General features: G+C 41.2%; 1 long non-coding RNA gene across 1 annotated transcript in view; it reads right to left on the reverse strand.

Moving 5' to 3' along the window:
* LINC02307 (long intergenic non-protein coding RNA 2307) overlaps positions 1–14,248 on the reverse strand; it is a 395,530-nt gene extending 381,282 nt beyond the window's left edge. Inside the window, exon 1 of the long non-coding RNA NR_187192.1 lies at positions 14,081–14,248. This is a non-coding gene — a long non-coding RNA (long intergenic non-protein coding RNA 2307). The remainder of the gene's footprint in view (positions 1–14,080) is intronic.
* Positions 14,249–14,466: the final 218 nt, after the last annotated feature.

Here is a 14,466-nt window from a genome sequence, read left to right on the forward strand (position 1 = left end):
GGATTGATCAGAAGTGGAATGAAAAAGACTGTTATGATCTGCTTATCTAGTACATTAAACCCTCTATTCTTGCCTTTCAAATATACTGCTCCAAATACTCAATAATTTTCTCCCCTAATATGATCTAATGGCTACATTTGTAAGTAAAAAGACACTCTTCCCTCTGAATAGAATAGAACATAACAGATCACAGTGAATGGAACTTTATAAGGGTTAGCATTGTTTCTGGAAACTTGTTTCTGCTTACACATACACACACCCCATACAAATGTGTGTGCTAAAGCCAAGGTAAAATGTGCTTATTATACATCAATTTCTGCAATTTCTTTTCATCAGTTTTGGTGCACCAGCTGCAGGCAGAAGGGAACTCCCGCACCATTTTTACAAAATGTGTTTCCTTTTGCTCCATAAGCCAAGTATTTGGGGACCTGAGTTTATCTGTCATGCTGTAATTTACCCAGTGCTCCAAAAGGAACAATTCAACCTTACCATTCTTGTATTTTCCATCCCTTTAACTACTCTATAATAGCAAAAATGCAAGCATCAAAAGCCTGACCCTCCAGTTGGCACATGATCCTGATAAATCATCAGATCATAGTTTATCCATAAAGAGTGTTAGCTTTGCATTTTCAGATAAGAAGAGATGTTTCCTTATCCTTTCTCCCAATAAAATCCAATAATAAATCCAAACATTGGATCTTCTCTATGTCCCTTACTCCCCATGATTATTCTCTGCCTTAGTCTCTCTTCACAGAAAGATATGAGTTTCTTAGCAGCCTTGAGCAAACAGAACAACCAACCCTTAGTAAGAATGGAGCCTGAAAGGCTGCAGAGAAATCGAATCAGGATTTTGTGCACTTTCTCTTAAGAGACAGATTTAATGTTTAATATTCAATGTTTAACAAATTCTAAATTTTGAGTAGTGGTTAAAAAAAGAGGATTATCAGAAATTAGTATTAGTCATTCCAGTGCCAAATACAATTAAGCAAGACCATAAAATCCAAAACTGAAATCAGTGATCATTTCCCTCAGGAAATTTTAACCACAAATTTCCCTATGTCTTAGCAAGCAGGGACTAACAGATATTATCAGAAACACAAAGGATATAGTATTTATAGTCATTGCATGCCTCTATCATAGCACTTAACCATATTATAAAGAAATTCTCTATGTACATATTAGTAACTCCCACTAGACTGTAAATTCCTTTGGGCCTTATTCATCTTTGTTTAATAGAACACCAAGTATGTATTAGGTGCTCTGTACTGTCATTTATTCTAAATACTAAATAGCATATTCACTCTTAGGTAATCTATTTGCTGTACTTATAAGTCTTTGAACTAAAGAATTCTTTCAGATACCATTATAACTACATGCCTGAAACAGGTGGACCACAATTGACAATTCAATTAAGATTCTGATGCCCACAGAAGACAAACTAAATAAGAACACTCCTATAGAATGCCTATCGCACACATCTTAAACTCCTTAGATTGACTCACACAAGTATAATAGCACCACTAATCATGTTTCATCTTCCAAAGTTCAGAAGTCTATGATCTCCAAAGCAGCACATCACAGTTAAGAGGCAGAAAAAGAAAAAACTAGGTTCTAGTTCTAATGCCTTCACTTTTCAGCTGAGATAAAAACTTGACCCTCATTCAGTTTCTTCATTTATAATAAATTAGGTATAATTAAAGTTTATTATCATAGAATAAAATAATGTTTCATGCATGTAGCACAGTATCTAACACATAGTAAACAATCAGTTTATAGTTTTTATCAGTATTATTACCACCACTATTAAAAGAGAAGAAAAGGAAACAGAAGAAAAGTACCCATGTTATATTTTAAAATAGGTTAAGCAGTTTTTAAAGAACAGTCCATGACTTTAGTAACTCTACAAAAATCTTGTTGGCATTTCATTAGAAAAGTCTGTAGTTATCAACATACACTATTATGAAATTATTGGTATGAGAAAAATTGTTGCTACAAGTACTTTCTTTTCAGATTCAGTAGCAACTCATATACTGATTATAGAGTGATATTTTCTTTAAAAAAACATACAATTAGCTATTTTCTTTTTTTTTTTTTTGAGATGCTGTTTTCTAATTAAACCTTTTATTAAGTCTAAAACCATGTTTTTGAAAAGTGAAGTTGTGAAACATTTATATCCAAATTGCCACAGTGACCAGAAGGCTAGTACAATAGTTTTAGAAATTATATACAGGATTTGGAGCTCTCCAATAGACCACCAAATTATGAGAAATTCTACAGATATAAGATTCTTCCCTGTACTCACAATCTTGAAACAAATAAACCTCAATTTCTTTTTGAATTCAAGGGATAAACAAACATATTTTAAGGAAGGCAATAAAATGGAAACTGAAATAGTTCTAGGAAAAAAAGCTAAATATGAGCAAAGGTTATGAATAGGTATGTCACAAAATCTTGCAAATGGTCAATTAGCTCATGAAAAGACATGAAACTCACTTGATATGGTTTGGATTTGTATCCCTGCCTAGATCTCATGGGAAATTGTAATCCCCAATAATGGAGGAGAGGCCTGGTGGGAGGTGATTAGATCCTCATAGGGACAGACATCCCCTTTGCTGTTTTTGTGATAGTGAGTGAGTTCTCACAAGACCTGGTTGTTTAAAAGTGTGCAGCACTTCCCACTTCACCCTCTGCCTCCTGTTCTGGCCGTGTAAGATGTGCCTTCTTCCTTTTCACCTTCTGCCATGATTTTAAGTTTCCTGAGGCCTCGCCAGACATGCCTCCTGTACAATGTTCCACAATGTGAGCCAATTAAACCTCTTTTCTTTATAAATTACACAGTCTCAGATATTTATAGCAATGCAATATGGCCCAACTGTCCCATAGAAGTGATGTTTATGGTTTCTTTTGAATAAATGTAGAAATTGACTCTACCAGTCTTAAAACTTGAGAAAGTTACATTTTTCTTATCTGAATTCCTTTCTCAGGAAATCAACCATCAAACTTCTTAGATACTATCAAGAAAGTGAAACTTACCACATCACCACATCTGGGCAATGAGATGCCAGACCCTTCACTAATCATGATTGCCTAACTGACTTCCTGTTCCTGCTTCCCTTCCTGCTTCCTGTTGACCAACTCCTCTTCCTTACCTCTAAGGAAGGGGTCAGAGGACTTGGTTTTTCCCATACATTATTACATTTCTTCCCTGCTGAATAAATCTCTAATTTTAGTCAGAGAGATAGATTTGAGACTGATTTCCCATCTGCTTGACTGCAGCACCCGAATAAAACCTTTTTCCCTGGCAATACTCATTGTCTCAGTGACTGGCTTTCTGTTGGGCAAGCAGCAAGACCTAGAGCTAACTCTTGCTGTTTGGGTAACATATAATATCATTAATAATCAGGTAAATACAAATGAAAACTGCAATAAAATATTACTACACACACACTACAATGGTTAAAATTAAAGCTAACACCACCAAATGTTGGTGATGATCTGGAGTAACTGAAATTTTCATACATAATTGGTAGGAAAGTAAAATGATTCAAGCACTTGGGAAAAGGTCTAGAAATTTTTTTACAAAAGTGGACATATATCTACCATATGAACTACTAATTCCAATGCTGGGTATCTACCCAATAAAAATGGTTTTTATAAAGGTTGAAAAAAAAAAAAAACCTTATTCAGGAATGCTCATAATAACTGTATTCATGATATCAAAAGATAGAAACAGCCCAGATATCCATCAATATGCAAAAGAATAAACAAATTGTTAGATATTTATACAATGGAATACTAATGATAAAAATAAACAATTTTTTAATACACATAAAATATACGTGAATCTCATAACATTATGCTGTGTAAATGAAGCCTTACCCAAAAGAGTACACACTGTATGATTTCATTTATACTACATTCCATAACAAGCAAAATTATTCTATGGTGAAAAAAAATTATAGCAATTATTAGTTTGCCAAGAGGTAGGGTGGAGTATTAGTCCATTTTCATGCTGCTGATAAAGACATACCCAAGATTGGGCAATTTACAAAAGAAATAGGTTTTTGGACTTACATTCCCACGTGGCTGAGGAGGCTTCACAATCATGGTGGAGGGTAAAAGGCACATCTCACATAGCAGCAGACAGGAGAAGAGAGTTTGTGCAGGGAAACTCCCATTCTTAAAACCATCAGATCTCATGAGACTTATTCACTATCACAAGAACAGCATGGGAAAGACCCATCTCCGTGGTTCAACTATCTCCCACCAGGTCCATCCCACAACACATGGGAATTATGGGAGATACAAGATGAGATTCAGGTGGGGACAGAGGGCCAAACAATATCATTCTGCCCATGGCCCCTCCCAAATCTCACGTCTTCACATTTCAAAATCAATCCTGCTTTCCCAATGGTCCCCCAATGTTTTAACTCATTTCAGCATTAACTCAAAAGCTACAGTCCAAAGTGTCATCTGAGACAAGGCAAGTCCCTTCTACCCTTAACTCATTTCAGCATTAACTCAAAAGCCATAGTCCAAAGTGTCATCTGAGACAAGGCAAGTCCCTTCCACCCTTAACTCATTTCAGCATTAACTCAAAAGCCATAGTCCAAAGTGTCATCTGAGACAAGGCAAGTCCCTTCTGCCTGTAAGCCTGTAAAATAAAAAGCAAGTTAGTTACTTTTCCTAAATACAATGGGGGCACAGGCATTAGGTAAATACAGCTATTCCAAATGGGAGAAATTGGCCAAAACAAAGGGGCTACAAGCCCCATGCACGTCTGAAATCAAGCAGGGCAGTCAAATCTTAAAGCTCCAAAATTATCTCCTTTGATTCCATGTCTCATATCCAGGTTACGATGATGCAAGAAGTGGATTTCCATGGTCTTGCGCAGCTCCTCCCCTGTGGCTTTGCAGGGTACAGCCTCCCTCCTGGCTACTTTCATTGGCTGGCATTGAATGTCTGTGGATTTTCTAGGCACATGGTGCAAGCTGTCAGTGAATCTACCATTCTGGGTTCTGGAGGATGGTGGCCCTCTTCTCACAGCTCCACTTAGGTGGTACCCCAGCAAGGACTCTGTGTGGGGGATCTGACCCCACATTTCCCTTCTGCAATGCCCTAGAAGAGGTTCTCTATGAGGGCTCCACCCCTGCAACAAACTTCTGCCTGGGCATCCAGGCACTTCCATATATCTTCTGAAATCTAGGAGGAGGTTCCCAAACCCCAATTCTTGGCTTCTGTGCATTCATAGGCTCAACACCACATGGAAGCTTCCAAGGCTTGGGGCTTGCATCCTCTGAAGCAACAGCCTTAGCTTATCTTGGCCCCTTTTAGCCATGGCTGGAGCAAGTGGGACACAGGACACCAAGTCCCTAGGCTGTACACAGCAGGGGGGTCCTGGACCTGGCCCATAAAACCATTTTTTCCTCCTAAATCTCTGGGTCTGTGATGGGAGAGGCTGCTGTTAAGACCTATGACATGCCCTGGAGACATTTTCCCCATTACCTTGGTGATTAACATTCCACTCCTTGTTACTTATGCAAATTTCTGCAGCCAGCTTGAATTTCTCCTCAGAAAATGGAATTTTCTTTTCTATTGCATTATCAGGCTGTAAATTCTCCAAACTTTTATGCTCTGTTTTCCTTTTAAAACTGAATGCCTTTAACAGCACACAAGTCACCTCTTGAATGCTTTGCTGCTTAGAAATTTCTTCCACCAGATGCCCTAAATCACCTCCCTCAAGTTCAAAGTTCCAAAAATCTCTAAGGCACGGGCAAAATGCCACCAGTCTCTTAGCTAAAGCATAACAAGAGTCACCTTTGCTCCCGTTCCCAACCAGTTCCTCATCTCCATCTGAGACCAGGTCAGCCTGGATTTCATTGTCCATATTATTGTCAGCATTGTGGTCTAAGCCATTGAACAAGTCTCTAGGGATTTCCAAACTTTCCCATATTTTCCTGCCTTCTTCTGAGCCTTCCAAACTGTTCCAACCTCTGCCTATTACCCAGTTCTAAAGTCGCATCCACATTTTAGGGTATCTTTTCAGCAGCACCCCACTCTACTGGTAATGATTTACTGTACTAGTTTGTTTTCATGCTGCTGATAAAGACATACTTGAGACTGGGCAATTTACAAAAGAAAGAGGTTTATCGGACTCACAGTTTCATATGGCTGGGGAGGCCTCACAGTCATGGTGGAGGGCAAAAGGCACATCTCACATGGCAGCAGACAAGTGAAGAGGGCTTGTGCAGGGAAACTTCCATTTTTAAAACCACCATATCTCGTGAGACTTACTATCATGAGAACAGCATGGAAATACCCATCCCCGTGATTCAATTATCTCCCACTGGGTCCCTCCCACAACACGTGGGAATGATGGGAGCTACAAGATGAGGTTTGGTTGGACATACAGCCAAACCATATCAGGCGGAATTGACTGGGAAAAGGGATAAGGAATCTGTCTGGGATAAAAGTAATGTTTTATATCTTGTTAGGGGTTTTGATTACACAAGCATACATATTTGTCACAACTTTGTTGATATGCAATTAAGACTTGTGCATATTTCATGTAACTTTGCATCAAAAGAAAAATTATAAACAAATAATGAACTCTATTTCATTATATGCATGCTGAAATATTTAGGAAAAACTGTAATGTTGCAATTTCCTTTTAAATGTACCCCAAAATAAGATGGATTGGTGGAAGTTTACAGTGATAGGTGGGTAAATATGCAATAAAGCAAATATTGGTAAAGTACTGATGAAAGAATCTTTGTGGTGAGAGTACAAGTCTTCCCAATAACATTTTTTAAGCTTGCTAAATGATTGACATATTTCATGGTAAAATATTGGCAAAAAAGATACTGCTTAAAGTTTAAATTTCATTCTTTTTTCTAGTAAAAATCAAATGTCAAATTGCTTGTTGTTGGCAGCAATTCACCATAAATGCACACTCACTATAACTTTACACTAATATATAATCTTAAAAGAAAAGTAAAAGATATTTTATTTACAAATTACACCTGATCACTAATATATCATACTTGTTATGGTCAATGAAAGTAATATGTAAGTCAACAGAAGAGAAAAAACACCTTTTTTCCAATACTGAAAAGCTTTCAAATATCAACTCAACTTTCCCTTTGCCAGTACATGTTGGACTTTGTCCAATATAATTATATACAGTCTACAGGCAGATTCAAAATACTTTAAAATTATTATCATAGTTTAAAACTAAATTATAACAATTACAAAAACGTGATTCTTAAAATTTTGTCTTACAGACAAAACATAAAGATGTTTTCCTCATACAGTATAAGGATCTACATAACAACTTCATGATTATAAAAATTAGTAAGCACTGACAAAACTATTTTTTTAATGTGGCAAAATTTTGCCTTGATGTTGCATTGGCATTATAATTGTGTATTTACATGCTCATAAACTCCTATGGTGGTGTTGCACGACTTATCCTTAGTTCAGCTAAAGATGGGGTTCTTTGTCCCATAGCCACAAAAATTCAGGCTCGCAGACAATTTGGTGAGTGAGACAAGGTTTTATTGGGTGAAAAGGAAGAAAAGTGTGAAACAGGAACTCTCACTAGGCCAGAGTTCCTGCTAGAGTGCTTCCCTCTCACCATTCAAATCCCAAGTTCCTCACAGGAACAGGAGGTGCCAGACTCCTCCCTGCTGAAAATGTTGTGAAAGTTGTAATGCTCCACCTCAGTGGGCAGGCTGGCTGGAGTTTCTCTGGGGAACCCCTCCCATCTGGCTGTCTCATCCCTCCCTCTAAGGAAGTACATCTAACTGCCATTAGATTAGGATACAGATGAAGACCGATCTTAACTGCTTCCTGCTGACAGGGTGCAGTTTTGGGAAAATGGCAGTCAGAGCTTCCCCAGAGTCCTATTTAAGGAGCCACCATCAGAGGCTCCGGTTGCATGACTGTTTGGAGTTTGATGGCCTGAAGGCAAGAAGATAAGCCGGGTTACTAGAAAACATGTATCAAAACAAAACAAGCCAAGGTGTAAAGACAGCTCAAAAATTCTGAGGCCTTTTACCAGTTTACACAGGGAAAGGGAGGCCAAAAGCCCGACTGGTAAAAAAAAAAAAAAACTTTACCCTTTTGCTGCTGTGTTGGGCTTCTGGATTCCCTTCACCTGAGCTCAATCCTAAGCCAACCAGTTTAAGGTTTAGAAAATTAACTCTTTCCAGATTGAAGGATGCATCTGAGGGGAGTACCTCATAGTATGAAGACATAATTACCTATTAATGAAGAGAGAATTGAGAAGGAGAAAGGAAAAAGGTGTTCTTTCAAGGAAGTCCCAGGGGTTCAGGATGCATTTGAAAGGGGTACAGACTGAAGATGAATGGCTGCCCATCTAGAAAAAGGGGAGCAGGCATCCCTGGTTCCCGTCTCTTTCTAGCAGATACCCGGAGTACGTGAGGGAGAGAGGGAAGAGCATCCTCTTTCCTTTTTCCATTCTTGCATGCCCGAGTTCCAGCAACCTTGGCAGGCACTGCCATGGGTATTAAAGTGGCTTGCACCCATGAAGCAGGGGGGCCTAGAGAAAAGGAATTACCCACTCTCACCTATGTCTCTTTTCCACCTACTGTCAGTAGCCTTGGAGTTCCCTTTACCTCATTTATGCCATGGATATTAACGTGGCCTTTATCAATGAAACAGGAAGCTTGGGGTTGGCTTAATTGGCATGAATCAGCCACGCTCATCTGTGCTGTGCTTTTTAACCTCTATTGTCATTTGCCTCTGGACCCCTCAGTACAGTTTTCCTTCCTAGGGCTTTGACCCCGAAGCTTGGAATTGATTTTGGGACAAAAATGTGTCTCGGGTGTTGCATGGACTCCTTATCATAAACCAAACGCTAAGGTGAAACTGTGGAACTAAGGTGAAACTGTGGAACTGAGTCCTCCTCCAAAAAGGGAGAGGAAAGGATGTCTTGTGACACACCCAAATAAGTGGTGGCTATAGTTATGCTTGCTAAGATTTGGGTGCATGGTGCTTGGCTTTGGTTAGCTCCCTTGGCCTTACTTTTCCAAAAGGAAACCTCTGAGTGATGGGCATCCTATTCATTCCCATCACCTAACAGGATTTACAGGATAATTGCTCAGAGCTAGAATACTGATCAGAATTTCTACATTACCTATCCCTCCTATTCTTTCTGAGCTGCAGCCAGGGATTGCTGGTTGGTTCACAGAAGCAAGCAGGGTTAGTCTAAAATGTAGGCAAAAAACTTAAAAACAACTAGTGAGTTTAGAATTTAATGACAAATATATTGTTATACCCGAGCAAGTTAGAAAAACACCACACTTTGAGACGAATTAAGAGTCCTTTATTAGCCGGCGACCAAGAGACAGCTAACGCTCAAAGTTCTCTCGGCCCCGAAGAAGGGGCTAGATTTTCTTTTATACATTGGTTTAGAAAGGGGAGGGGGGTCTAGTTAAAACAATTTTACAGAAATAAAATAGGCAAAAAGTTAAAAGGATAAATGGTTACAGGAAAGTAAACAGTTCCAGGTGCAGGGGCTTTAAGACTATTACAAGGTGATAGACTCGGGGTTTTGGGCGTTATCAATCAGATGAATTCCTGGGAATTTCGGATATAGCTTGCCACAGTATCTTATCAGTTAATTGCATTCTTGGATGTGCTGGGAGTCAGCTTGCACAGGTTAAGTCCTTGAGGAAGGGGCTGTCAGTGAAAGAGCCAAGATGGAGTCTGTCTGGATCTCTTAGCTAAGAGAGAGTCAATTCAGGTGGAAACAAGGCTAGGTGATTAAAGGAAAAGGGGGAGTCTAAAAACAGGGTTAGTAAAAACAAGGTTGGGCATTACAATATGACAAGTTTTGAAACATGATTTCTCTCTCTCCAGTCCTCATGTTTGTTTAAAAAAACAAATCATCATGGGGCTGAATGGGTTTTTTTGCAAAATAGACGTTAGTCTCATAAAGTGCAGCAAGAATAATGATTTCTACATAGACCTTTTGGATTGATTGGCTTGTTGGAAGTTTGCTCCATAAGGAATCTCAGATAAGACCTTTTAAAGCCTAGCCCAGCCATGGTTTATCCTCAAATACTTGTGAGTTGGGTGATCCTCTCCTCTTAAGGTCCCAGGATAAACTTGGAGCTCCTGGACCTGTTAGAAAGTGACATTCTTTACTGACCACAGATCAGGAACCCTGTACAGGGACTGCATAGACAAGGGTATGAGGCCAGTTTCTCCCATGGGGCTTTTATCAGCTCTGCAAGTTGAGATTGACTCCTTAAAGGGGAGCATACCCTTTCAGTCAAAGCCTTGGTAAAACAACCACTTTCTCCAATTGTGTCCTGTTCCAAAAGACAATGGATTCTTATTGCACTGATGCAAACAACAATATTGTCATAGTAGTACTCACAGATAGTTTCCAAATTCTAGAGGAACCAGGCAGAGAGAAACAAACATGCTCCAAATCTTGAACACAGGAGTATACCTACTTAATTATTAAAGTCCATAAATAGTTCAAAGTTTCCTTGACTCCAAAAAACAAAACATGGATCAGCAATTTTCCAAGCAAAGGTTAAAAAGATTTGCTTCAGTTTCCTGAGTTCAATTCATTTAGTTAACTCTTGTTTTGCTTGATATTCATGAGCATTTCAGCTCTTCATGAGTCTTGTACATTTTCCGTTATTCCAATGTTACAATCTCTAAAGTTATCAGAAGGCTGTATTTAAGAGTATCTCTTAAACTTCTACAGGTCATTATAAACCATCTTTTAGGAAGGATTAAAATAAGAAAACAATTGTCTGTGAATAGGAAAATGTCCAGGTTAGTTACAGTTAGAAACACAACTGACAAAGAAGTTTGGTTATCTCCATGGTTTATCATAACAAAATAAAAACCTTAATTATGATTGGTAGCATATACTTAGACATTAGAATTTTAGAAATCCCATACAATTCTGCAACACATATTAGCATTATTCACCAGGATATAACCTAAAGGAGATTGAGCATCATTTTGACAACTTCATGTACCTAAATATGTCAAATAATCCTGTTTACCTCTATTTTCTGGACATTCCAGGGGCCCTCTGGACTATCCAAAAAGCCACGTGTCAGGAAAGACAGTTTTGAAACTGAAGTTTAATTTTAGGAAGGCTGTTAAATGTTCAAGGTTTAAAATACTTGATATTATGAAATAGAATTCCAGATTACCATAAGTTATTTATTTTGCCAAAAATTATGGCTCAGAAATTTAAAGAAGCAAAAACCTTTTATAACCCCTTACAAATTTTGCCAAAGAGCAGATTAGTGCCTTAGGAAAACCTTGCTATGGTTTTATTTCAATACTAAATTTACAGAAAAACCATATAATACCCTTTTTCGAATTTAGTCAGTATGTTCACACAGAGAACCTCTTCTGCAAGACTTCTTTGAACCTTTAGCTTTTTCCTAATTTAACTCATAACAATCCTTTAACTGGAGGCAAAAGTTTACATTTCCATGCCTTCTTATAACTTTTATTAAAAAACACATTTTACTGTTCTTACACACTCTGCATGTAAATATATTTCTAGTAGTTCCAATTAACTCCTAGCAATTTTGAACTTTAAGGTAAAACTTGGTAAGTTGCTTTAATTGTGTGCTAACTGCAGCCAAGGTTTGCCTTATTAGTTAACGAGTGGTTAGTTCCATATGTCCCCAGGCCTCACCACTTATGAAGCCAGCAAGTCGAATAGTTCTCAAAACCCAAAAAGCAGTTTGTAACCTCAAAACACTTAGCAAACCTTGCACCTGACCTGCATTTCACCAGTAGTCTTTAGCGCTCTCTTTATTTCTTAAAGTCATCAACTGAAAGTTTCCACAGCTTTTAACTTCCCTTTAAAAAATATTAGATCCAAGTGCATGTCTTTCTTTAGGCCAAATTAACTAAAGCTCTTTTGACAGAGATTACACACAGTACACACACACACAGGCAGAAGAAAACCCAGTTGCTAGGTGGGGCCCTTTAAGAGACAGGGCTAGGAAAACTTGCAGATATCAAACCAGAAAGAAATTTATTCCCTAAGGCAGGATTCCTAAACAAAGCCTTGCCAAGCAGTTACAGGCCATGCCCCCAGTGTGTAAAACAACATGGAGGCTTGCAGCACAAACCATACAGACATGCAAAGCTCATGGGATAGGCCACAGCCCAAGACTAGCCCCACAAACCCTTTTTCACAATTAAAGCTTTACAGAAAATATAAACAGTGATAGCTGGGGGGCCTGGCATAGCAAAACATCTTCTAAAAGGAAAAAAACAAAACTTGCTTAAAAACTGCTGATGGGGTGGAGAAGAGGAAAGGAAAAAAACAGTTTAAAAATGCCTAGAGAAGAACCTCTTACTCTTATGCAAGTGGTTCCTTCACCAGGGAGACTAGTTCAATTACTGCCCAGTGGAGTAAAACCGCTTGGCAGGGGAAGGGGAAGGCTCCTGCAAAAGCAGGTGGCTGGGACTGCCAGCCTGCTGTGCCAGATCCTTGGGCCATGTATCCCAGCCCCGGCATGGAGGGGAGAGCCGTGAGGAGCTGCTGCTTGCCAGTGCAGCCCGAAAAAGGAAGGAAAAGACCATAAGGATGAAAAGGCTCAGAAGGGAGAGGGAAAAAGAATTGTTGGTTTGCATCTCACTCACCACTTCTCGAGCCCCCACGTTGCGCACCAAAAATGTTGAGGACTTTTCCTTAGTTGAGTTAAAGACGGGGTTCTTTGTCCCACTGAGAGGTGACAGCGTGCTGGCAGTCCTCACAGCCCTCGCTTGCTCTCAGCGCCTCCTCTGCCTGGGCTCCCACTTTGGCGGCACTTGAGGAGCCCTTCAGCCCACCGCTGCACTGTGGGAGCCCCTTTCTGGGCTGTCCAAGGCCGGAGCCCACTCCCCCAGCTTGCAGGGAGGTGTGCAGGGAGAGGCGCCAGCGGGAACCGGGGCTGCGTGCGGCGCTTGCGGGTCAGCTGGAGTTCCGGGTGGGCGTGGGCTTGGCGGGCCCTGCACTCGGAGCAGCTGGCAGGCCCTGCCGGCCCTGGGCAATGAGGGGCTTAGCACCCCGGCCAGCGGCTGCAGAGGGTGTACTGGGTTCCCCAGCAGTGCCAGCCCACCGGCGCTGCGCTCGATTTCTCGCCAGGCCTTAGCTGCCTTCCCGTGAGGCAGGGCTTGGGACCTGCAGCCCGCCATGCCTGAGCCTTCCACCCCCTCCGTGGGCTCCTGTGCCGCCCAAGCCTCCTCGACGAACGCCACCCCCTGCTCCACGGCGCCCAGTCCCATTGACCACCCAAGGGCTGAGGAGTGCGGGCTCACTGCGTGGGACTGGCAGGCAGCTCCACCTGCGCCCCGGTTGGGGATCCACTGGGTGAAGCCAGCCGGCCTCCTGAGTCTGGTGGGGGCCTTGGAGAACCTTTATGTCTAGCTCAGGGATTGTAAATACACCAATCGGCACTCTGTCTCTAGCTCAAGGTTTGTAAACACACCAATCAGCACCCTGTGTCTAGCTCAGGGTTTGTGAGTGCACCAGTGGACACTGTTTCTAGCTACTCTGGTGGGGCCTTGGAGAACCTTTGCCTCATACTCTGTATCTAACTAATCTGGTGGGGAGGTGGAAAACCTTTGTGTCTAGCTCAGGGATTATAAACGCATCAACCAGCGCCCTGTCAAAACAGACCACTCGGCTCTACCAATCAGCAGGACCTGGGTGGGGCCAGATAAGAGAATAAAAGCAGGCTGCCCTAGCCAGCAGTGGCAACCCCCTCGGGTCCCCTTCCACATTGTGGAAGCTTTGTTCTTTCACTCTTTGGGTCCACACTGCTTTTATGAGCTGTAACACTCACCGCAAAAGTCTGCAGCTTCACTCCTGAGCCAGCGAGACCACGAGCCCACCGGGAGGAACGAACAACTCCAGACGCGCCGCCTTAAGAGCTGTAACACTCACCGTGAAGGTCTGCAGCTTCACTCCTGAGCCAGCGAGAACCACGAACCCACCAGAAGGAAGAAACTCCGAACACATCGGAACATCAGAAGGAACAAACTCCAGACGCGCCACCTTAAGAGCTATAACACTCACCGCAAGGGTCCGCGGCTTCATTCTTGAAGTCAGCGAGACCAAGAACCCACCAATTCCGGACACACCATGGCCACGAAAATTCAGGCTCATAAACAATTTGAATGGTGAGTGAGACAGAGCTTTATTGGATGAAAAGGAAGAAAAAGGGGAAACAGGGACTCTTGCTAGGCCAGAGTTCCTGCTAAAGCACTTCCTGCCCGCATTCAAATCCTAGGTTCACACAGGAAGAGGAGGCGCCAGGCTCCTCCCTGCTGCAAATGTCTTGAACTTCCCAAGGCACCACCCCAGTGGGCAGGCTGGTTGGTGTCTCTCCAGGGACCCCCTTCCCACCAGGCTGTCTCAGTGGGAGCAGAATTTTCTTTTATTATTGGTCAGTTCCAGTTCCA

The sequence above is a fragment of the Homo sapiens genome, chromosome 14, assembly GCF_000001405.40.
Source record: "Homo sapiens chromosome 14, GRCh38.p14 Primary Assembly".
NCBI classification, from domain to species: Eukaryota; Metazoa; Chordata; class Mammalia; order Primates; family Hominidae; genus Homo; species Homo sapiens.